This window comes from Homo sapiens, chromosome 7, assembly GCF_000001405.40.
Source record: "Homo sapiens chromosome 7, GRCh38.p14 Primary Assembly".
In the NCBI taxonomy this organism is placed as follows: Eukaryota; Metazoa; Chordata; class Mammalia; order Primates; family Hominidae; genus Homo; species Homo sapiens.
In genome coordinates, this window is record NC_000007.14 from 124,267,407 (window position 1) to 124,294,115 (window position 26,709).

The 26,709-nt window shown below is 35.7% G+C and overlaps 2 long non-coding RNA genes across 3 annotated transcripts in view; one reads left to right on the forward strand and one right to left on the reverse strand.

The window, feature by feature from the left end:
- Positions 1-7,264: 7,264 nt before the first annotated feature.
- Positions 7,265-21,448, reverse strand: LOC105375484 (uncharacterized). 2 transcript variants are annotated; one of them, NR_187948.1, is made up of 3 exons: positions 21,393-21,448; positions 19,809-20,507; positions 7,265-7,592 (listed from the first exon to the last, which is right to left on the reverse strand). It is a non-coding gene; the product is annotated as an uncharacterized LOC105375484 (long non-coding RNA). The 2 variants fall into 2 exon arrangements; NR_187949.1 differs by lacking the exon at positions 19,809-20,507.
- The window catches only part of LOC107986841 (uncharacterized), a 66,127-nt gene continuing 59,300 nt past the window's right edge, over positions 19,883-26,709 (forward strand). Inside the window, exon 1 of the long non-coding RNA XR_002956584.2 lies at positions 19,883-19,980. This is a non-coding gene — a long non-coding RNA (uncharacterized LOC107986841). The remainder of the gene's footprint in view (positions 19,981-26,709) is intronic.

Here is a 26,709-nt window from a genome sequence, read left to right on the forward strand (position 1 = left end):
TAGATGGAGAGTACATGTCACCTCAGCAAGATGGCTGAAACAGTGTGACTTCTTTGAAAGTATTTTACCATTTCTCTGATTGAGGTTCTACTGACCGCTTTTTTTTTTTTTTAACTTTCCTGGAGTATGTTAGTGTTTATTGCATTGTCAACTCTTCAGTATATTTTCTCTTGTCAGAGAGGGTCATCTTAGAAAGATTGGGACCATAGGCTAAACCACGGGCTTTTGATGTTCCATGCAACTGTTTCCTGGAATATCGTGAACTACTAAGATTTGAAGACTGAGTTAGAATCTTGAAAAACAGTTTCAAAATAATGTGGTAATAAAACAAGTTGGTATAATCGCAATTAGTTTTCTAAATCCACAACGGTCAAAAAGCACACCTTGGTATTAGATATTCAATAAAGTATTCCGCATCTCCTATAAAATGCTTGGTTATGGTCATCTTAAATTATCCCTGAACTTATTCTTCTGATGAGCATTCTTTCACAAATATTCTTGTCCATGTTTTTCTTTGTTTGTTTTCTTTTCTTAGTTGGGAAAAATATCTTGTGTTAAAGGTCTTCAAAATGGTTTGTATATCTCATGTTAATCTCTTAGGGTAAGCTTTGCCAATAAATAAATATTGGAATTTAATTGGAGCTTGTAAGACCCAGTAAACTAGGTAAGAACCTTCATGTAGTCTTCATGTTTTGTTAGCTGTTTCTCATCTCTGACAATTCTTAGTTTTTTCTTGATTTTTTTTTTTTTACCTTTACAGTTTTGAAGAACATGGGTCAGGTTCTTTGTAGAAAGTTAATTTCTTTTTATTTCTGACTTATGTTCCAGTATAGGGACACATTACACTTTGCCTATCTGTTCACCTGTTAATGGAATTTTGTGCTGTTTCCAGTTTTGGGCTATTACAAATAAAGCTGTGATGAGCAGTCATACACAAGTTCTTGTATGGACATATGCTTTCATTTCTCTTGGATAAAAACCTAGGAGTTGAATGGATAAATCATATATGAGGTATGCATTTAACTTTTAAAAAATTGCTAAATTGTTTTTGAAAGTGGCTATATCATTTAACATTTCTACCAGCAGTGTATGAACCTCTCGTTTTTTTTACATCGTTGCTAACAGTTGGTATCAGGCTTTAATTAGGGCCATTCCTGTATGGATGCAGCGGTATTTCCTTGTCATATTAATTTGCGTTTCCTTAAGGACTAATAATAATGTGCATTTTTTAATGTGCTTATTTGCCATCCATTTATTTTTTTAGTTGTAGGTCTGTACAAATCTTTTGCCCATTTTGAAATTTGGTTGTTTGTTCTTGTTGAGTTTTGAGATTTCCTTATATATACTGTATACAAGTCTTTTGTCTGATAAGTGCTTTGCAAATACTTTCTCCTGGTCTGTAGATCCCCTGTTCATTCTCATCACTATCCTTTCTGCTTCATTCTTCTGTCTGTCTATTTATGTGCCAATACCACACTGTTTTGATTAGCTTTACCATGTTTTAATATCTGGTAAGGCTAGTCCCCTCCATCTTACTATGTAGTTTGAGTTTTCTGGGTAGTCTTTATGTTTCTATTTATGTTAATATTAGAATGAACTCATATAATTCAAAATTCTTACTTACATTTTTAGTGGGACTAAATTACACTTTCAATTTACTTTGGGGAAACTGGTATCTTTGTGATCTTGAGTGTTCTTTTTCAATATCATGATATGTTTCTCATTTGTTCAAGTCTTCTGTTCATATTCTTGTGTAGCATTTTAAAATTTTATTCATATTGATCTTATACTTACTGTTATGTTTATTCCTACATTTATCTTTTCTTGATGGTATTGTAATGGCATCTTTTTCCAATATATTTTTAAAATTTCTTGTTTGCACATCTGACAAATATTGTTTTCTGCATGTTAATTTTTAACCTATCCACCCCATTGAATTTTCTTACCATTTCTAATTGTTTCAGCTTATTCTTTTAAGGTTTCCAGATATATAATTTGTAGTTTTTTCAATTTCTATATCTCTTAATACTTTATCTTTTCTAATTGTGCTATTATTTCCAAAAAAAAATGTTAAACAAGAGTGGAGATAATGGCTATGGGTTCTTTTTTCTGTTTTTAATAGGTATGTTTCAAGTGTTTGATCATTTAACATGATAGCAGCTTTGAAGAAGAGGTAGACTTATTTTTATCATAATAAAATTTTTGTCATTGTAGTGCCTGCTGGCTGCTGAAGTGCCTGGATTTGGGGTGGGAGAGAGAAGGGTAATTTGGGTCATTACACAGCGTTTTATCAGAACATACACATGTGAACTCTTGTCATTTTATTTGTTTGTTATATATCTATTTCTTCAGTTTTTGGCATTCATAAGTTGTTGTATCTCATCCAAAGTTCTTTAAGTCACAAAATGTCCCTTCACCTTTTCTTCTCTGAGCTTTTTATTCAGAAGTCTCCCCTCATCAAGAGACTGGGTTATATACAAGAGGAATGACATGTGGTTGTGGGTTTTGCTTCTTTCTCAGCTTCCCTGCTGCTCTGTGCTATCACACTGGAATCTTCAGTGACATTTCCTGCCACACTCATGGCAGTTCATGACCCTGCATCTTAGCATTCTCTCAGTGGGTAGCTAGGGGCTCTTATTTTGTAAAAATTCATTGTCTTTTTTAATTTTAAAAAGAGTAGAGTTTGTCTATATTTGCACACTTTGATTCAGGAATCATCTGGAGTAATTTTGAAATGAGCAAAATGTACATGTAGCCCTTCAAAATAGTTGCTTTATGTTACCTGCCTCCTCAGTGCAGTAGAGAGTGGTCAGTCTCACAATCTGAAGAAAGAATATGCTGACACTAATGAAAATGATATTTTGCAAAGGCTTTAAAAATTTCTCTTTTGGAAACAAGCTCAGGATTGGCTTTTGTGCCGTATAAAATCTAACTAATTGCTTAATAGTCACATTGCCTTTTTTACATGAAATGATTCTGCTTAAATGCTCACCTCACTTTTCAGTTACTGAATAATTTTGGCCCATATCTGAAAATTAAATTAATCAACAAACACTGAAAATTTAACATTACTGGAGAATTTCAAATAAATGTCCTGAACAGGTTTATTCTTTGCCTTTCTCTTAGGCAGTTCCAAAGGTATATTGCCTTTTAATTTTTTCCAAAGGTAGAATTATTTTCCTCACAAATTAACAATAAGCAAATTTATCCATTTCATTTTTAGTGAATTATGAATATTTTATGAAGTAGAAACTTGGCACTCACCTTTTAAAAATCAACTCTTGTTGAGTAGGCTGAGGAGGAGGAAGAAGAGGAGGGGTTGGTCTTACTGTCTCAGGTATGGCAGAAATGAAAGAAGTGGAGGTTGAAGGGGAGGCAGGAGAGGCAGACACTAGGTGTAACTTTATAGAAATACATTGCCCCTGTTAGCATAGTTGCAGTGATGATTTCATAATTTTTTTTACAATGGTTCTTTAAATGGATTCATTTATCTTGAAATGGAAGGCAACTGCAGCTACAGTCCTCAATCTAAAGTACGTATCAAGCAATTCAACTTTTTATTTTAATGTCATGAGTTTTCTCTGCTTTTTTGGGAGCACTTTTGGCAACACTAGTGGCACTTTCTATGGGTCCCATGGTTTTACTTAAGGTTTATGATATTGCACTAAACATGATGTAAAATGCACAAAAACCATGAGAGATCACTTTTTACTGCAAGAGACAATTTACTAGAGAGACAAACTGCTGGCTAGGAGATGACTAGCATTGCATGGTGTTTTGAGTGGATACTTGTAACGCTGGAGCTCAGGGAAATAGCAACAGGGAGTGGCTATAAAATTATTACAGTAGTATAATATGTACTATAGTTAATTTTATGCAGTTATGATTTAATACTGTATCTTTATGTTTGCTTACATTTCTCTCAGCTGCAAATGGTGCATTGTTTGGACTACAAGTGTTTGTGTTCACAGTGCTGATAAATTGTAAGTTTTTATGACAGATTTTTGTAGATCTTATATTAGTCAATGATAAAATAGACTAGTCTTTACATACATTTATCCATTCAAGTCACACCCAACTTTTTCTTAAGTTTTCTAATATTTCTAGGCTACAAGATTTATCAGAAAGTTTTCTCAGATTGTCTCATATCTCCAACAAAATTTGCAATATATTTACTGAAAAAAATTGTGTATTAGTGGATCCATGCAGTTCAAACTCCTGTTGTTCAAGGGTCAACTATATAATACACCTGGTGAAGCAATGTGTATTCTCATCTTTCAAGTTTCTTTGGTGATTTTAGAACATTGAAGAAGATCTAATTGATAACACACAACACTTAGTATCACTTCCATTGTTCCAACTCTTAGTCAAGTCTTTCAAATACCATAACTATGCTCAGATCTTTCTCTTGTCACTCTTTGTTTTTAACTTTCAAGTAAAACTTCCCCCTTTTCCTTCCTCTCTCACTCTTTCCTTATGCTTCAGCTAGTTTTCCTCTCTGCTTAACAACATTCTCTCTTTTTCTGTTCTCTGCCTACAAAGTATTTCAATTACCACAACAAAATATAAGAGATAGCAAGGAGAGGTGAAAATCTAAATGTTCTAGAAATGTCCTTGGGAAAAAGGGATAAGAGATAGTAATCAGGTTATTAATGTTACACTTTTGGGAATTATCTTTGGCCTTTATTTCCTCTTACTTTCAGTATCTAATAAAGTATAGCATCTTGAAAATGTGGCCTTCTAAATGCTAAACATTTGTTTTAACATATGATTTAACATATGTTGTAACATATGATAGTTTCAGGAATAAGTATTATAGTATAAAACCATGGTTGACCTTAGCAAGGAGAGTTTCAGTGGAGTGGTGTAAGTGGAAGACATAGTGAAGAGCGTAAAGCAATGCAGGAAAGGGTAAGGAAGTGGAGAATAGGTAAATTCAACATTTGTGAAAATTTGTTTGAGCAATGAAGAATAAATAAAAGTATAAATGAATGAGCGAATATACTATGTTGCACTCTATTACAGTTATAAAGTCTTTTACCTCCAGAGGCAGCAGCTTTACCAGTTACATTATACTTACTGAGTTTTTATTGAGGTTGTAGGTGCCAAAATTACAGATTTCCAGTGGAAGCCTAAGTTGTAAACTTTCTCTTTAAGCCTCCAGTTTAGTATCACAGGAATTATTCAAGAATAGACTAGCAACCTGATAAAGGGCTTATAAGGAGGTTAAATTATCTGGTGTGTATATTTAGTAGTGATAAACTCTATGATCTCTTTCAATTCTGAGATTCTATTATTTTATGGCTTAAGCAGTCATTCAGGCATAGAACCAATTTTGTTCCCTAAATTTATGGTCATTCTAATCACGTTCTCAAGTTATAAAGTGATAATACTATTGTGTGATTTACAGACTATTTGGTTTTATTTTACTTGGCTGAGCATATTTTATAAAGTGAGATTTAAGAGTTCTAGATTTTGATACCTGAAGCAGAAATTCAGACTGTCCACAAGTATTTAGTAGCTCCTTGTCCTTAAAATGCTTAAGTTTAATGGTGGATAAGACATAAAGCCCCAAAACATTTAAGTCAGTAATTTAAAAATGTTTTTACAATAGCACCTTTTCTCCTCAGTGAAGCACTATGCCATATTCTAGTGGTGCAGAAGTAATTGCGATTTTGGACTGTGAATTTTAAATCATTATATCTGGGCTCAAACACATCTTTATTAATTAAAATAGGAGCCATTACAATCAATGCATTTTTGCCAATGAGAAATGAATTTGTTTATCCCTGTAGTGTAAAAATCCACGCTTTGGGATTCAACAAACTCTTGGAGAGCACTTTCTGCATCCTGCTGGTTGTGGAAGCATTTTCCCTGCAAAAAGTTGTTGAGATGCTTGAAGAAGTGGTAGTTGGTTGGTGAAAGGTCAGGTGAATATAGCAGATGAGGCAAAACTTCACAGCCCAATTCATTCAAATTTTGAGGCATTGCTTGTGCGATGTGCAGTTGGGTGTTGCCATGGAGAAGAACTGAGCTCTTTCTGTTGATCAGTGCCGGGTGCAGACATTGCAGTGTTCAGCACATCTCATCAATTTGCTGAGCATACTTCTCAGATGTAATGGTTTTGCTGGGATTCAGAAAGCTGTAGTGGATCAGACTGGCATCCAACCACCAAACAGTGACCATGGCTTTATTTTGGTGCAAATTTGGCTTTGGAAAGTGCTTTGGAGCTTCTTGGTCCAACCACTGTGCTGGTCATCACCAGTTGTCGTATAGAATCTATTTTTTGTTGCATGTCACAATCTGATTGAGAAATGGTTTGTTGTTGTTGCACAGAATAAGAGAAGACAACACTTAAAATGACAATTTTTAAAAAATTTTTGGTCAGCTCATTGGCACCCACTTATTGAGCTTTTTCACCTTTCCAATTTGCTTCAAATGCCAAACAACCATAGAATGGTCGACGTTGAATTCTTTGGCAACTTTTTGTGTAGTTGTAAGAGGATCAGCTTCAATGATTGCTCTCAACTGACCATTGTCAACTTCTGATGTCCGGCTACTACGCTTCTTATCTTCAAAGCTCTCGACTCCTTTGCAAAACTTACTGAACTACCACTGCATTGTATGCCCATTACAGTCCCTGGGCCAAATGCATTATTGATGTGAGTTGTCTCTGTTGCTTTATGATCCATTTTGAACTTGAATAAGAAAATCACTTGATTTTGCTTTTTGTCTATCATCATTTCCATAGTCTAAAATAAATGTAAAATAAACAGCAAGTAACAGGTCATTAGCCAAAAAACATAAAGCGAGAACTGCACATTAAAATGATGTATAGCATAACCACATTTATTTAAGAACATATTCCAATATCAATCTGCAAATTTCAACAATGCAAAAATCACAATTACTGTTGCACCAACCTAATACATTTAGCAGATAAAAGAGAAACTGTTCTTGCTAAGGTAGAAAAAATGCACTCAGAGCCCTGTCTACCTAACTTCTTTATTTAAACTTTCACCCCAATCACACACTCACACTGCATACAAAAAGCAAACATATTCATACACATATATTCCTTAGGGCCCTGTAGAACATCATTTGAACATGACCAATTAACACTAAGTAAACAATGCAAGACAATTAATGATTAACTTACAAAACGAGTGGTATCATTCAGAGATGGAAGATATTAATATCCACAAGGGACATTTTATGGCCTGTGTATAATTTATCTATTGCTGTGTAATAAATGCCCTAAAACTTAGAAGCTTAAAAGAATAACATTTATTATCTTACAGTTACAGTGGGTTAGGAAACTGAGCATAGCTTAGTGCGGTCTTCCAGTTCAGGGACTCTTGCAAATCTTCAAGGTGCAGACAAGAGCTGCAGTCATCTCAAGTTCTACTGTACAGTATGTGCTCATAAGTTCTTTGTTTTTGATAGGATTCTTTCAATTCTGAGATTGCAGGATCATTCAAGTTCATTGCAGGACTTTGGATGGGGTACATCCATTCTTCTCTGACGATTGCTTGTCTCAGTTGCTTGCCAGTTGGGCCCTTCCATGAGGCAGCTCAGAGAATAGCAGCTGGCTTCATCATAGTGAAAGATAGCACAAAGGAGTATGAACAAGATGGAAGTCACCATTTCACAAATATAAAAAATCTATACATTTATAATCAATATTATTTAAGCTCTTAAACATGAGAAATGTTTTACCAGTTATACTGATTCAGGTGATTTTTGTGTTTAAAAACTTTTCAGACTTTTTGTATTTTTAGACTTTTTTTCTGTCCAGAAACTTAATGACTATTTGTCTTTAAAATATTCTACACTTCACATATCTAAGTTCTATGGAATATTTCATAAATTCGAAGGAGAAACAGGAAGTTGATGGGAGATGTGATGATGCCATTAAGCAAAGCTTAATGTCTTATGTTAAAGGTAATCACATTTCCCTCTTTGAGGTGTGTGCACTGACTCTATTCCTGCCATAATATTGAGTCCCACAACCACACACTGATGAAGAGCCGGAACCATTGTCAGGGGTACTTACTTATCACTTCAGAACAAATTATCCTAAAAAGAACGAGACCAGAAAGCAGGTTGCTGTGAATTGGATGTTGACATGGCAATGAGATAATGTGAAGTGAGCAGCTGTGGGTAATAGGATAACTGATACTAAGTGATCTACATGAATGTCATGCAAACAAGGCACACTTTGAAAACTGAGTTCTCTCTTGCATAACCCTTACTGAATTCCACACGCAGGATTTCTAAATGCAAGACAATGGAATTCTTTCAGAAGCACTTCAGTAATCATGCCTCATTTTCTCAAGGAGAAACAGAGAGCAGCAAATAAAAAGAGCTGCATTTTCCTAAAAGAAAAGAAAGTACTGGATTAATTAAGGGTTTGATGCTTTTCTTCTAATACTTTTCCTGAAACATCTGGAATCGCAGAGCTGGAAGGTAGTGTTAGGCCTTAAAATATTTTTGCCTTTCCAGAGAAGGAGTCTTTTTAAGAACAGAAAAGCCTGGGGACTGGGGTGAAATCTATTGCACAGGAATCCTTGGGCTGCCTCACCTCTCCAAGAGCTCTTTGCATGTTGCTTGGGACCAGCCTATAAATTTTATCAACATTCTCTCTCTCCTACTTTTGTCTGAATTTACATCATATTTTCCCCAATTTGGATCCTTACAATCCATCATTCACCATACTAGTGCATTCTACTGGCCACTACTGATTCTTCATACAACAGTTACTTTAATATATGTGGCTCAGTGTTGCCCCTAGTGGGAGATCTTGCTATTGCCTCCTTCCCACCTCCACCCTATGTCCTCCCACTCCACCACTCACATCCTGTTCCTTGTTGGTTGCCCGTTAGCTTTCTGCTGGACCCTCAAGAGACCACTGGAGCTCCTATCTGCACTGCACTGAAAATTGCCCGGCCTTGAAAAATATTGCCCTGCCAGTCTGCTCTTCCAAGGACTTAATGAGCCCCTTAAAAGTATTCTGTTTTTACTCTCCTTTGGAAAACTGACTTCAAACAGTCATACAAATTTTGATAGTGATATCTCTTCCCAGCTCCCTGAGATTTCCTTGCTTCAAAAGGCAAGGCCCTTTAATGTTACAGCTTTCTTATCCCTCCCTCTGTGTACAAGATTTAAGACATTGCTTAGGGGAAAGCCCGTGTGGAGTATTTCAACCCTGATTATCGTCACATTCTAAGACATGGTGCTTTCAGGTGCTGGAATAAGGGACATGCCACTACCCCCATAAATCTTTGGATTTCTTGTGTCTTGCATACAATTACGTTCTTTAGGAAAAGAGCCCAGATTTGTTGTTTCTGTAATCATGTTTCTGCTGTCCTCAGAGTCCTACAATGACCACTCATAGTACAGTTAATTCCTGGAGGACAAAGTCACTCAGGCACATGCTTGATATGGGTTGGCTGTGTCCCCACCCAAATCTCATTTTGAATTCCCACGTGTTATGGGAGGAACCCAGTGGGAGGTAGTTGAATCATGGGGGCAGGTCTTTCCCCTACTGTTCTCATGATAGTCAATAAGTCTCACGAGATCTGATGGTTTTAAAAAAAGGAGAGTTTCCCTGTACATCTCTCTTCTCTTGTCTTCCATCATGTGAGACATGCCTTTCACCTTCCACCATGATTGTGAGGCCTCCCCAGCCATGTGGAATCGTAAGTCTAATGAACCTCTTTCTTTTGTAAATTGCCCAGTCTCGGGTATGTCTTTATCGGCAGAGTGAAAATGGACTAATACAATGTTCTAAGGTTTTCTACCTCTCTTTATCTTAAAGAGTAAAACCTATAAGGTTAAATACTATATTGGGTGGCTCAGAAAGTTAGAAAGCAATGGGAAATAAAGTACTAATGTAAAAAGGATTTTGAAGAGATATCCCAACATGAACTATAGTCAATAGGAAAATGGCATGGTCAAGGTGAAGATTGAGATATGCTTCAAAGGAAGAGCAGTTGACTAAGAATAGGAACAGGCAGGAGGGATGAATAACCATATATATCTATGTGATTTGAGCACTCAATATAGGCTAAAGACACTGACTCTTGTTCATTGTAATAAAAAGACAATATTTTTGTGTGTTCTTAGAAAATTAATGGCTTTACAATTATGCAGTCTGTTTTTGGAATGTCAAGTTGAATACTTCACAGTAAGAGAAGAAAAACAAGTTAGTTCGTAACTCAGGAGAGTGGTGTAATGGGAAATTTCATCCTTTGTATAATGCATATTATTGTGGTTTTTGAAATCCAAAATATTGAAATAAATCTCTCTATATCCATATGCAACTATCTATTCAGAAGGAGACTACATCAGGATATAAATACAATTAATTCATTACAAAGAACAAAAAAACTTTTAAAGGCAGACATTTGATGTTTTGCCCATTCTTTTCATTTGTAAGTACATGTAATTTATGACACTGTCAAAGGTCTTCAGAGAAACAGAAACAATAGAATGTGTAGATAGGTAGGTAGGTAGCTAGCTAGCTAGCTAGATAGATACGGATATAGATATATAGATATAGATATAGATATAGATGAAGATATAGATAGATTTATTTTAAGGAATTGTCTCACATAATTATGGAAACCAGCAAGTCCAAATTCTTCAAGATGGGGAGGCAGTCTGAAGGCTGTCAGGCGGGAGATTCAAGAAAAGATGATATTGCAATTCAAATCCAAAGGGACTCTGCTGCAGCATCCACTCTTGTTGAGGGTAGGACAGTTCTTTTTTTTTTTTAATCTGGACATTCAATTGATTGAATGAAACCCACCCACATTACATAGAGTAATCTGCTTTACTCAGAGTCCACCAGTTTAAATGTCAGTCTCATCCAAAATGTCCTCACAAAAACATACAAAATAATGTTTGGCAACGTAATCTGGGTACCATGCCTAACCTAGATGACACTCAAAATTAACTATTAGAGACACTTGGTTTCATATATATATATATATATATATATATATATATATATGAAACATATATATATATGAAACATATATACATGAAACTATATATATGAAACATATATATGAAACATATATGAAACATATATATATGAAACCAAGTGTATATATGTATGTATATATCCTGTAATCCTAATGATAGTGGATAAGTCATTCAGCTCATTTTTCCAGTCCGCAGTCTTATGTATAATGAGAAGACAAGATTTTTAAGTTTCATCCTATTCTAACCTTACCATGTCCTTTTCCCTAATACAGTGTCTTTCTCATTTTTCTACCCCTCTTCCCCACAAAGATAATTTTTTTTTTTGAGGTGGAGTCTCTCTCTGTCACTCAGGCTGGAGTGCAGTGGCGTGATCTTGGCTCACTGCAACCTCTGCCTCCTGGGTTCAAACAATTCTCCTCTTGACTAGCTGGGAGTACAGGCACGTGCCACCATGCCCAGCTAATTTTTTATACTTTTAGTAGAGATGGGGTTTAACCATATTGGCCAGGCTGGTTTTGAACACATGACCTCAAATGATCCACCCACCTCAGCCTCCCAAATTGCTGGGATTACAGGTGTGAGCCACAGTGCCTGGCCTCCCACAAATATAATTTTATAGATATATAACTGTTCCAGCAGAAGCAGGTGATAATTAATGGATCTAATTGTAAGAGGCTGACACCAATGATGGCTCGTTTTTATCTATGTGAAGATAATATTCTCATCCATTGTTGGAAGAATGTTTGAGCTGAGTTGCCTTTTAATACATGCTGATAGGCTTGAGCTCTCTTATCCTCATTTTATCAACGGGTTTACCTTAAAGCGAAAAGTACACATAATGAGAACACTTGCTATTATTTTAGTATAGGCTGTGCCTTTAGAACAGAGATAACTGGCATCTGGGAAATTTAAAGACCTTATTCACATTAGAGCTGTGTTCTCTAATCAACTGAGTGTGCGAGGCTAATGATCTAAGGTTTGTCTGCATGGCTATCTCACTAGGATTCATGGAAAAAAATAGCTTACTAATTAAAATACCAATCTCAAAAGGCATAATGATGTTAAACAGATCCTATCAAAATTTGTAACTTCAGACATGAACACTACATGCAAAGTTGCTAAGAGCACTTGGCTTTTCTGAATTAAGGAACAGAAAAGTAGGGCATTAGGAAGTATAAGTATAAACTTATTTAAATTTCACAATTATTAATACATAGTCCTATGTTTCTTATGTTTGCAAATAAGTTTCTGCTGTCACTAATCAGAAATGGTAATGACCAGTATGTTTTAAAAAAACAAAGTGAACTTTTCTTCCTAGAGTGCAAGGGCATCACTGAAGGTTGAGCCAGTGCCACACAGATGCTTGGCTCTGGGGATTTCCCTAAGACTCTGCCCTGTGCATACATCCTTGGACTCACTGTCTTCATAAATAGCTTAATTGTCTTAGTGGGAAAGCATGTGAAGCAGCTGGAAAGATTTCTTAAAAAGGATTATCGGCTGGGTGCAGTGGCTCACACCTGTAATGCCAGCACTTTGGGAGGCTGAGGCGGGTGGATCATGAGGTCAGGAGATCGAGACCATCCTGGCTAAAACGGTGAAACCCCATCTCTACTAAAAATACAAAAAAAAAAAAAATAGCCGGGTGTGGTGGTACATGCCTGTAGTCCCAGCTACTTGGGAGGCTGAGGCAGGAGAATCACTTAAACCCGGGAGGCAGAGGTTGCAGTGAACTGAGACTGTGCCATTGCACTCCAGCCTGGGCGACAGAGCAAGACTCCATCTAAAAAAAAAAAAATTATCAACAAAAGTAGATAAGATAGATATTATACAGAATATTGATATAAGTACACATAATTACACTCATATTTCTTTAAGAAAATTATTTATAATGTGGGCATTGTCTAGTATGAAATAATTTTAAAATAAATAGATACGTTTTAATTTTATAATTAAGGAAATCTAAGTTTCAGTCATTGCATTGTAGAATTAATTTAGCTAACTTTACCCAAAAGATCTATGTGATATTTGTGTAAGATTTGTGGAGACAGTCTTCCTTAAAAATAATTATGTTGAGGTCATTTATCACAGAATATTAGAACATTCCAAAATTGTAACCAAAATTGACTTATCAAAACTCAGAAAGTTTAACTAAAATTAATTCTCAAATAACAAATAGGCGTGTTATGAACATTGCATGAATTTTATGTCCTTAGAGAATAAATCTTCACATGCAACAATGGTCTTTGAAATGTGCTCATTTCTTGTAAAAGAAAAATTGTACACTGCAAATATAATGAATAGCAACACCAAATATACTTGAAGCAAGACTTATGGTGCTTGAGCCATCAAGATTCTCCTGTTTAACCTAACGTTGTTGCTTTTGAAATCTGAAATTTTTTAAATATGTCATATTGATGATGGATCCAGAATCCTAAAGTCATTTTACAGTCTACAGAAAAAGTAAATATTCTGTTAACTGCTATGTAACAGTCAGTTAACTGTTGAACTGCTATGTGTCAGTTATGTAACTGGTCCAGTTAAATAAATATCCAAATATGTGTGTGTCTAAATTTTGAGTTCTTTTATTATAAAGTTATGCCTATAAGATCACCCCAAATTATCTTTAAATTCAATTCAGTAAGCATTTTTCAGTTTTTTTTCCTCCACTAACATGTGGACAAAAAAATGCATGAATTGAGTATAACACTGCTGACCATTTTCTCTGTGATACGTCTGTTGCTTTTCAGTTTAGCTTTCACATAGGCCTCTGGCAATAACCTTATTTCTGTGATTGTATTTGTACCTCTCTCTTTTCTGGCTTCATTTTGCAAGGGAAAGCAATAGGTTCTTTCTCCCCTAGGTTAGATGCATTCTCTCCCGGGACTCTCATCTTCTATATGGATTCAGTTGTATAGAAATGACTGTTCTCTCTAGCTCATTCATCCTGATAAGCCACACTCTCTTAAGTGCCATATATTCTGCTTGCCATATGATTTTGTGCTTATAGCACAAATCACTTTTGCACTGTTATAAACAAGCAAAGGTTTATTGATGATATGTGATGAGATGTCCAATAAAAAATGTTTAAACTCACAAGAAATAATCAGATAGTATTTCTTACATTCCAAAGATCTGCCATGGGATCCTTTAACTATGGAATTTCTATGACAATTATTAATTTCTATCATTTAGTCGTAAACATGTTACCTGATTCCTTCATTAGGAAATCACTTATTATCAACTTTATAGGTAGAATTATAGATAAGATTCTAGGAAACTGTAAAAATTTAAGATAAATAATAATTTAATTTGTCAATTTAGAAGTACCCTCCTACATCTCAATATTAACAACCATATTTTCTTCTATACAGTGCACAGAATTAATATAGTATACAATTTGAAGTTGCCTTTTAAATGTAGGAAATTAACTTATTTCTTACAGTTATTACAGAAAATTGACAGAAAGAGCTCATGATGAAGGCTAATGCATCATAGTGAAGACTGAGACATCATAGGCTGATTCTTGTGGATGTAACTGCTAAGGTCTGAGTATGTCCCCCAAAGTTTATATGTTAAACCCTAATTGCCCGTGTAATAGTATTAAAAAGTAGGGCCTTTAGAAGGTGATTAAGTCATGGGGGCAGACCCCTCATGGAATTAGAGACCCTTATGAAAAGGAACCTGGGAGTGGGTTCATTCTCCTCTGCACTTCTGCCATGTGAGGTGACAGCATTTGTCCTCTTTGGCCTTTCTGCTCCTTCTACCTTGTGAGGACGTAGCCTTCATCCTCTCCAGAGGAAGTAGCAGTCAAGGCACCATCTTGGAAGCACAAAGCAACCCTCGCCAGACACCAGACCTGTCGACGCCTTGATCTTGTATTTCTTAGCCTCTAGAGCTGTGAGAAATACCTTTCTATTGTTTATAAATTACCCAGTCTGTGGTATTCTGTTATAGTAGCACAAACAAACTAAGGCAGTAACAAAAGCTCATCTAACAGGAAGAGAAGGCTCTATTTTCTCTCCCCTGCTTCATCTTGTGACACTCTTGCTCTTACTCTCTGCTCCAGCAACCCCTTCTTACAGTTCCTCAAATGGGCCAAGCTTTTTCTTGCCTCAGGGTGTTTGTATATGCTGTTCTCTCTGATTGAAATGCCCTCCCTCCTTACTCTTCACCTAGGTAATTCTCACTCATACTTCAGAAAGGACTTTAGTCAGCCTCCCAATCTAAATAAAGTCTCCTTATTATTATTCACTTTCATTGAATCTGTTTTTTCCACTTTAGTTTTCTTCAAATTTGGTTATCATTTATTTCCTTATATGTTTATCGTACTCTAAACTGCAAATTCTATGAAGCCAGGGTAAGTGTTTCATCATTATGACTGCAGTACCTAACACATTTTAAGTACTCAGTAAGCATTTATTGAATGAATGAAAAATTTAATAATTATGGGAATTTCAACTCTCTGAATAGTTCCTGTAAGATGCTTAAAGAGGAGGATAGGATAAAATCTTGACCTACGTTTCTGACAACCTCATTTCTTAAAGAGTAGGTGAAGTAATATGAGCATTTGCCTTCATTGATATAGATATGATAAATAAGTACTCTTTAGTAATAAAAACCTTAGAGGAATATAGAAATAGAAAGGGAAGACATTAGTAAACATTGCTATAAAGGTGTATTTACAGACTCATCTGTAAAATGGGAAAAAGACCTGTCCTGCATATATCATATAGTTTTTGTGGAGGTCAAATAAGCTAAGGTAGATAAGTAAACTTTGGAAACTGAAAAGCCTTATATCACTATAACATGATAGTAGCAGTTAAAGCCAGATTTAAAGAAAGAACATTTCAAATATTCAAATAAATAATAGATATCAAATGAAGAAAAAGGCTTTTAAAAATAGAAATCAAAGTTTATATTTTTAGATTAAGTCATTTTATTTTAACTTGAAAATAATGTATTAAAAAAGTTATACAATTATAAATTTGGAATTGTCTTAATTTTATTGGTCATAATCATTTTTAACATTTTATAGATATTTTGAATTTAATTTTTGTTTTTATTAAGAAAATTGGTGCTCTGTAATTTTATTTTTACTTAATGATATCATTCTTAATGGATAAATAGTATTTCCTATGTTAAGCTATTCATTCATTCTTGCATCTGTTCACTGATCCAGTAATTGTTCATTGAGCACCTACTCTATATAAAGTACTATGCTTGGTCCTGGAAAGATGGTAGGGTAGTCAATATAGAACATAACAAACAAATTACTCCCTTAAACATTTAGTTCTGGTGCTGACAAATGCTGGAAAGAAAGGTACATGCTGCAAGTGCATTTAATCTGATGACCTAGTTGGAGACTGCGAAGTTAGGGAAGACATATTTTGGGATGAGGTTTGAAAGAGGAGGAGGAGAGGTTAACTAAGCAAATAATCAGAAGACTGGCATATAGAAAGGCCTAAATGAAGAAAGGTACAGGTAAATGGAGTGATTTTCAGAATGGAAACATCTGACAATTGAACCAAAATTTAAAAAAAATGAAATTCTGAACATCTTGAAAATAATTCCACTTAGGAAAAACTAGAGAGTAGCATTAAATAAATGAAAAACAAGAAGATCTTTTAAACTCAAATTTTAGAAGAATACCTAAAAATTATGAAAGAAGAGACATATAATTAAATCTTATTCAAAGATCAACTCAAATGGTCTACAATTTGGGGCACCTTCTGTCATCTCCTATGCATAATTCAATTGGGATATCAAACTGAGCTGATACAGTATAGTTATTTTCTACCTTTTGGAAATACGTCATACTAGTTATTGCATAGACTCCCCAAATTATTGCATAAATCCCAAAACATGGACTACACACTGTCTTCATAGATGTGTTTCTCTGAATTATTTCTCACATGTATGTAGATGAGTTGTTAGGTATAATAAAATACAAATAAATTTAAAGGCATTACTTCTCCCTGAGAACTAAGCCATCCACTTCTCCTCCTAGCTATGTCACTGAAGCTTAGGCTACCTGACTTGCACTATCAAGATATTACTTCCAGGCTCATTGGTACTCTCTTCAATTTTGTTTGTCATAATCCTTAATGAAATTTAATATTCCCATAGAGAATCCTTACAGCGTCTTGATCTCTTGGTTACTTGACATACTTTCCCCTTCCTTCATCCTAACACTGCCATTTGTTACTTATCTTCACTGATCCTTATCTTCACTCAATCAATTTCAAATTCTCACATTCTTCTATAATAGGGAGATATTCATGGACAGATCATTCTCTTTGGGAATATTTTAAGAATTAAGGAATATATTATGTTTAAATTTGCAAAGTAATTTAGGACTAACAAAACATCTTCTCCTGCATTATGCCTTAGATCTTTCATTGGACAGCTCTTGTCCAGTTCCTCTTGCAACTCTGATAATTAATAAAGTTCAAGTTTGATATGATTTGGCTCTGTGACTCCACCCAAATCTCATCTCTAATTGTAATCCCCATGTGTCAGAGGAGGGGCTTGTTGGGGGGTGACTGGATCATGGAGGTGGTTTCCCCTATGCTGTTCTCATGATAGTGAGAGGGTTCTCATGAGATCTGATGGTTTAAAAGTGGCATTTTCCCCTGCACACTCTCTCTTCTGCCACCATGTGAGACGTGCCTTACTCCCTTTCACCTTCACCATGATTGTAACTTTCCTGAGGCCTCTCCAGCCATATGGAACTGTGAGTCAGTTAAACCTTTTTTGTTTGTAAATTACACAGTTTCAGGTAGTATCTTTATAGGGTGTGAAAATAGATGAATGCAAAGTTTTGGCTCATATTCTTGAATTAGAATAGTATCAGATGTCCTATAAAATTACTTGAACCTTGGTCATGTACTTCCTTGATATTCTATGTGAGTCATAAAACCAACTTTTCAGAAAAAAAAACATCCAAAAACTAGACTTCTGCCTATTTAAGCAATGAGGTAAACCAAAGAAAGTAGAGGAAGGAGGAGGATCTCAAAAGGTAAGAAAACTTATAATTGGAACAGAAAACACATATGTTGCTAGAACTGGGGAAGAATGACGTTGTGATAAACAGTTAATATTTTGCTACTAAGCTTGTTACACTGTTTTGTAAACCTTAAGATATTGCAATATTGCTCCAAGTATTCAACTTCTGTTCTGCACTCTAAATGGCTTAGAGCCAGAAAAACTTCTTTAATTCACAGATTTAAGCATTTAATAGGTCCTCTCTATAAATTGTGATTAGATGGCTTTTTTTTTTCATGATTCAACTATTTCAATAATAAATGTCAGCACAGGACACTACATAAATTAATACCTGTGTAAGGAAAAAAGTTTGATTTCTCATGGCAGAGAGCTATCCTGAAACTCAATAAAATATTGAAGAGTATTTGTGTTTTCTAAAGCATAGACAGGTGTTTTTTCATTGCCATTCTGCTATCAATTCATTCATTCATTAAACAAATGTTTATTGAAACCCTACTTTATGCCAGGTGCTGGACTAAATTCTTGGGGTATAAAGATGAATAGAGACATTCTTTTTTTTTTTGAGACAGAGTCTCGTTCTGTCCCCCAGGCTGGAGTGCAGTGGTGCGATCTCGGCTCACAGCAAGCTCCGCCTTCTGGATTCAGGCCGTTCTCCTGTTAGCCAGGATGTGTTAACCTCACCGTGTTAGCCAGGATGGTCTTGATCTCCTGACCTCGTGATCCGCCTGCCTCAGCCTCCCAAAGTCCTGGGATTACATGCGTGAGCCACTGCACCCGGCTGAAAAGAGACATTCTTAACTTCAAGTCTAGGATGGGTGGGAGGCAGACAAGTCAAGCAGCAATGGTAGTACAGAGCTATTGCCATTATGTTGGAATTGTTATAAGAGAAAAAGCAGGAACAATAGGTAGTCTGGTTTAAAGGAATTCAAGGAGAAGCATCATGGAGAAAAGATATATAACTTGAAACCTGGAGGATGAGTAACAGACAGCAAATGAGCTTAGGAGTGCGGTGAGGAGGGTGAGTAAAGTCGGTATCTTAAAGTGGAGCCAGGCTGTGAGAATAAGGAACATTTGAAGAACCAGAGAGGTTAATTTGACTATAGTACAATGTGGAATGGCAATAGGTGAGATAGGCGAGGCACAAGAATATTGGAGAGCCCTATAAGACATATTAAGAAGGGATCCTGAAAATCAGCATGGGACTTTTGACTTATACTTAAGGAAAGAAAAACACACATACATACCATGATATCTACCCTCTTAACAAATTTTTAAATGTACAGTACATTATTGTTAACTATTAGCACAATAGAAATTTGGCAAGATCATTATTAGATGTGTTAAGATGGCTTAATCATTTTTCTTTTGTGTGTGTTTGTCACTCTATTGATGACGGGGCCTGGTTCAGCTAATCTTGCTGACTCCAGATGCCTCTCTCCTCATATGGTGCTGTATACTGCATTTATCATAGGTTTTTAAAAATACTTTGTAGACATGTCTTAGTGAATTCACCTAGGAATTTCATATTTATTATTTAAATATTAATGCTGAAGCAAACACAATAAGCTTCAAAGTAAAACGACTCTAGAGGAAGAGGCCAAGAAATAAATGTACCAACTAATTTTCCTAATTATATTGACCCAGGGAGGCTGATTAATGTAATATGTGAAACTCTCTAGGCAGGAAACCATGTTTCTCAAAGGTCTGAGAAATTGCAAATCAAGCATGTTTTAGAATTTAGAAAATGTAAAACCTGAGTAAAAGTCTATTAACTGATTTTTAAAATGGAAACACAAACTCAGGAGGCTTACTTTGCTGTTCTGCTGAAGAGCTCGAGATTTATCATCCAAGGAGACTGTTGATTTGGTAATTTGCCCTCTGGCAGGTCTGACATTGGAATAATGCAGAACACTTGATTCAGGTCATAGAAGAAGCAACACTTTGGGCACAGCACAACACAACCAAGTGAGCACTGGAAACCTGGTGAGTTCCCGTTTTCTACTTCAAAAGTGCTTCTCAGCCAGTTGAGTCACGGGCAAAATGAGTTTTATAGAATGTTCTCTCCCTTCTTCTGAGACAGAGAATGTTCCATTATACTAACTTGCTTCCAACCCCCTATCTCTATCATAATGGTATATTCTTTTTTTCTCACTCAGGATTGTAGACTTTTGTGCTTTGGGGTATCTTTAACTCTCTTTACCCCAACATCCAGGAAGAGAACAAAAAGTTGTTCCTTCTTCATGATGGCACATTTTCATTCTTCTGGGAATGACTTTACTCCCATAAAATACTCCCCTAAGCAGCTTCCAGACTGAGGGAGAACATAGCCCCTTTCTTTGAATATCTGAGGAGCTGTGGTACAGAAGCAGCAGGCTGACCTGTGTTGCCTCACAGGGCAGCGAGAAGAATGGGCATCTGATCTGTGCTGCAGACCACTGTGTTCAACATCCAGCAACCTCACAAAAGAGTGAATCTCTTATTTCTTTATTCTAAGCAGAGTTCAGATGATCCTGTCAGGGAGGTGGTAGGAGAGATTTCTACATGGGAAACGTAGTTGGATTTGAATCTGATATTCTACGATTATTTGATTAAATCATTAATGACATATATATTGCAACAATTTATCAACTTTCTCAGCAGAGTATAGGAAATTCAGAGTAGAATTAAGTGTTATATATTAAGGGAAAACACATAAACATGTTCAATGGTATTTTAAAATAACTTTTGGCTTAAAGCATTAAAGCATCTTATTTAGGTACTATCTTCAGAAAATTAAAATTAATCACATATGCTCATCCATCTGCTTTATAATATCCTGGTAATAATACCCAGCATTTTAATCAATTTTAATTTAGTTAATACCCTCGTTTCCGTTTTGCAGAGGAATGCAGCACAACAGTATCTAGATGAGGATATTTTCTGGTATTTGGCAAACATGTATTTATTGAAACCTCATGAAAATAAGCAGAAGCTTTGAAGTTTAAGGTTGTCTAAAAATTTTGGCAGCATGCTGAACATGATAGGCAATTCTAAATGCCAGGTGAGATGTTAGTCAGGGAATCCAAAGTAGACAAGCAACAGGTTTGTGGACAATAATTGAATGTTCTTTCTGCATTGAGGTTTTATAAAAGAAGAAAAATAAACAGAACACAGTTTCTGTCTACCTTTATATAAAAGAATAACACTTTCCTCCTTTTAAGATTATAAGTTGTTTGTTTAAATTCTATAAATGCAGTGCATGGATCTTTGTTGTGGAGGAACTTCATGTTCTAGCTTACTTATTTGGTTAAAATATTTATTAAACGCCTACCACATATCAGGATATACCAAGTGGATATGGAATGGATTACTTTTTGCATGAATTCCTGCAAAACCTTTCTGAACTCTTTCCTTACCTTCAGCAAATACTCCTTCCAGTCCACCCTCCACACTACTGCCAGAGTCATTCTTTTAGAACACAGATTGCCGCACTGTCATAGTTATGCTTTATAACGGTTCCCACTGGCAACCAAATGAAACCCAAACACCTGTTCTATCATATGTTTGTATTTCCAGCCTTGTGTTCTAACACTCCCTTTTGTGTTCTGTTTCACCCATCATAAATGACCTACTACAGATTTAAGAACAATTATACTTCCATGCTTTCATATATACCATTTCCTAGACCTTGAATGCACTTTTACTCATTTTCTGCTTTTGCCCTAGTCAATGGGATATATATTGAAGACACTTCCCATTGACTTAATTTTTATTTCTTCTAAGAGTATCTCTTTAATGAATAAATTTCTCCTTAGTGTCTTGGTTTTGGTAATCTAGTTCCTCTGGTGAATGCAGGGTGGTTAGAAGGGATGACACTGGGTATGAGAGGAGGAATGACATGGGAGGAAGTATTTATGAAGAGAACTCAGATGAGGAGGCTGACAAAACGTCAATAGAAGCCAAGTAGGCATCTAGCTTTCACTGTCAGTACCAACTGATTCCACCACTCGAGGTTAAAGTCACTCCTCCTTAGGTTGAGAACTTACACATATTTCTGCCTCTTTAAGTATTTTTCAGCACCTTTCTCCCATGAATATTTGTCATCTAGTATCATAATTAGCTTCTTATATTTCTGCCTCCACCACTAGCCTGGTGTTTCTTAAAGGTAACTAGCCTCTACAAGGTTCTTGATGTGATTTGATGAATGAATAGCAGGCCTTGCTTCCACAGAAAGTGGCGAAAGAAAATGGTGACTTCCTCAGCATCAGGCATTATGGCAGGCACTGGCTAGGTAGGAAAAAAGACGATTAGGACTCCTTTTCTCATGGAGCTTAGTGTTTGCATGTTGAGTGGTGAGTGACAATTTTTATTATTTTTACTCTCTTTCCAGCTTTAAGGTATAATTGACAAACAAAAATTGTATATATTTATTGTATACAATGTGATGTTGTATACATTGTATACAATGTATACAATAATATATGTATACATTATAAATTGATTACCACAATCGAGGTAATTAACTTATCTGTCACCTCACTCAGAATATTTTTGTGTGTGCTGAGTACATTTAAGAACTACTCTTTTAGCAATTTTCAACTATACAATACATTATTATTAGCTATAGTCACCATGCTGTAGAGTAGATCTCCAGGATTTATTCATCCCATCTAATTAAAACTTTGTACCTTTTGAGTAACATCTTCCCGTTTCCCCCCTTTCCTACCCATCCCCATCCCCTGGCAACCATCATTATACCTACTTGTCTTGTGAATTTGAATCTTTATATTCCACATGTAAGTGAGCCCATGTAGTATTCATCCTTCTATGCCTAGTTTATTTCACTTAACATAATGTCCTCCAGGATCTTCTATGTTGTCACAGATGACAGAATTTCCTTCTTTTTTTAAGGCTGAATAGTATTCCATTGTGTTCTTCATCCATTAATTAATTGATGGAGATGGATTATTCCACATCTTAGTATTGTGAATAATGCTGCAATAAACATGGGAGTCCAGATAGTCTTTGACATCCTGATTTCATTTCCTTTAGATATGTACCTAGAAATGGAATTACTGGATCATATGGTAGTCCTCTTTTTAATTTTGGGGGGAACTTCCATACTGTTTTCATAATAGCTGTGCTCATGTATACTCTCACTACGAGTGTGCAAGAGTTTTCTCCACATCCTTGCCAACACTTGTCTTTCATCTTATTGGCAGTAGCCATTCAACAGGTGTGAGGTGATATTTTTGTTTGGTTTGTTTTTTTGAGACAGAGTCTTGTTCTGTCACCCAGGCTGGAATGCAGTGGCACAATTTTGGCTCACTGAAACCTCGAGCTTCCGGGTTCCAGCAACTCTCATGCCTCAGCCTCCCGAGTAGCTGGGATTACAGGCCTGCACCACCACGCCTGGCTAATTTTTGCAAGTTTAGTAGAGATAAGGTTTTGCTACATTGCCCAGGCTGGTCTTGACCTCCTGGCCTCAAGTGATCTGCCCACATTGGCTTCCCAAAGTGCTGGGATTACAAGCATGATCCACCGCTTCCAGCCTGTGAGGTGAAATCTGATTGTAGTTTCTTTTTTGTTTCTTTTTAGGCTGCGTCTCATTTTGTTGCCCAGGCTGGAGTGCAGTGGTGCAACCTTGGCTCACAGCAACCTCCACCTCCTATGTTCAAGCGATTCTCATGCCTCAGCCTCCCGAGTAACTGGGACTACAGACACATGCCACCATTCCTGGCTAATTTTTTTGTAATTTTAATAGAGACGGGGTTTGAAATGGCCGGGCAAACTCCTGACCTCAGGTGATGTGCCCACCTTGGCCTCCCAAAGTGCTGTGGTTACAAACGTGAGCCACTGCACCCAGCCTGATTGTAGTTTTGATTTGCGTTTCCATCATAATTAATGATGGTAAGCATTTTTCATATATTAATATTTATTGGCTATTTCTATGTCTTCTTTTGAGAAATGTCTATTCAGGTCCTTTGGCCATTTTCTAATTGAGTTAGTTATTTTCTTGCTATTGAGTTGTTTGAGTTATTTCTCTATTTTGAATATTAACTTCATAGCACATATGTGGTTTGTAAACCTTTTCTTCCATTCTATAGGTTGCCTCTTCATTCTGTTCATTCCTTCCTTTGCAATGCAGATGCTTTTAATTTGATGCAGTCCTTCTTGTCTATTTTTGGTTTTGTTGCCTGTGCTTTTGGGGTTGTATTAAGAAAAATCATTACTCAGACCAATGACAAGAAACTTTTCCTTATGTTTTTTTCCAGGAGTTTTAGGTCCTACACTTAAGTCTTTAATCCGTTTGAATTTATTTTTGTATATACTAATAACATGAGATAAAGGTCCAACTTTATCCTTCTGCATTGTGGATAGCCAGTTTCCCCAACACTATTTGTTGAGGAGACTGCCTTTTTCCCACATTGTGCATTATTGGCACCTTTATAGAACATCAATTGACCATAAATGTGTAGATTTATTTCTGGGCTATCTATTCTGTTCTATTAGTCTACATGTCTGTTTTCATGGGCAGACAATTTTTAAAGGAGAGGATCACAGAGAAGTATTACTTGTAATTAGGATATAATATGATGATTGCAATTACTAGGTTCTTTACAATGCTGAACATATAATTAGCTTTGCTTTAAAGGATAATTAGGTGGGTAAGATGAGATAAAAGTAGTATGTTATATAAAATCATGTTTAAAAGCATGAAGATGTAAATGTATATGTGTTTTCAGAGGCATGATTCATAATTCACCATGACTGCAATGAGACTAGCATGTGAGGCATGATATTTATTTAATGATATTTCTGACCCAGGATCATGATTCTAGGTACAAATATCTCCAAATGCCCTAGACTTTCCAAACCTAGTGCAATACTGCAAGACTGTAAGATCCATGAGAGCAGAGAATGTGTCATTGACTTGCGTATCCTAATGTCTCACAACATGCTTAGTCTCCGTAGTTCTAGAGTTATATTTCTGGTTCTGTCTTACCTGGTCTGTGAGAGCCTTTCTGTGATTAGCAATGACGCTTTGAAGGCACTGTTCTATAATCAGCTGTGTCCTGTGTGTATGAGAGCGCTTCTTAACGTGTACTTACAATCTGGGGATTTTGAGAAAAAGTGGGATTTTTTTTGTCTTTTTCCTTCATCTAGCATTGATTACTTCAGATATTCTGATTAGTATAGGTCAGGGACTATTCTCAAATATTAAGAATCTTTATCTTCAAGGAAATTGAATGTTGGTTAGTACTATGGGTTCAAGGCTAGGGAAAGGATCTTTCTTGTAAAATAGATACATTTCAAATAACAGGCTCTTTTTCCTGTGGGCAGAGAAAACCACCTTGTTTAAGTAAAGCAACTTGATCTCTTCAAGAAATTAAAAGGTGTTTCTTTTTAAAATTATCTTTGTTTTAGTAATGTAATACTTTAAAAGTACTTCTGAATATGGATTACAATCAAGTCAATTGGAGTATCTATATTCAGTCTTAACGCTGGTTTAAACATAGAGTCACAAATGTACTTTGTAGAATTCTGGCATGATGCTTATTAGCATTATCATTTATTTTTTTCTCTAGGATATTCACATTAGTTAAGGTGAAATATTTCTATAAAAAATGTAATAGAGCAGACAGCAGTCATACAAACAAGTTATATAAAAACAATAAAAATAAATAAAAACTTATAGTACTTGGGGAAAACTATCATTTTGAGACCAAACATCCCATTCTCCTCTATTCTTTTATTGGCCTTGTTACCAGCATGTGCACTTAGGTCCTCAAGACTGAGGTAACCTTTGTTTTTCTCATAAAATATAAGAGACAAATAACTTATATTTCAAGTTGACATTATTTCCCTGTAGAAAACCACATTTTTACTTAATCTCTAAATTTTGAATGTGGATTGCTATAATCACCATATTTGGTGTTTTAGAATCAAGACACGTATAGAATAACCCTAGGGAAGCTTTATGAAGCCTTTTAGATTTCAAGGCAAACAGCATTTCAAAGACAAGTCTACCTTTCTGGGGTTAAAACAACTTTTTAATATAAATGGGCATGATCTGGAAAAGGGAACAGTGTGTTGTCAACATCAAAAGAATGTGGCATTGCCTTTCCAAGATGATGCCCATTTAAAGTCATTTCTTAAAGCAGGTCCCATTTATAATGAGGTTAAAAATAGTTAGTATGTTGTTATGTGGGTTTTGCTGCATAGATTGGGCATAATCAGAAATTCTAATCATAAGAGTCCAAAAGAACATTATAATTGTGGAAAAGGGAGGTCTACCATGTGTCAAAGTCTCAGAAGGGAAGTGGAGGTTTATCATATCAGTGGTGAGACAGGTGATAGATGAATGGGGTGGTTTAGTGTCACTGCAGTGAATTTAGTGAGAAAATGAAAGACAACCTTTGGGGGGTGGTCTAAAAAAGAGTTGCGAATTTATGAACTAAAATCTATGTTATAATGGGATTGATCTCAGGAATCTTACTCTTACTTGTGTTATAGCCACAGCCTCATAGATGAGTCCAGTCAGTATTTTAATAAAAACCTTTCAAGCCAATTGGATGTGCATTACCTCCATGAACTTCTGCACAGCTGCAAGCATTCCAAATTTCAGGTTTATGCCTGTGTGTTCCATGAAGGTAAAGATCTCATTACACATTAAGTTTTTCTTTCTGTTGATAGAAATATTTGCAAAATAACACGTGAACAAAATTAGAT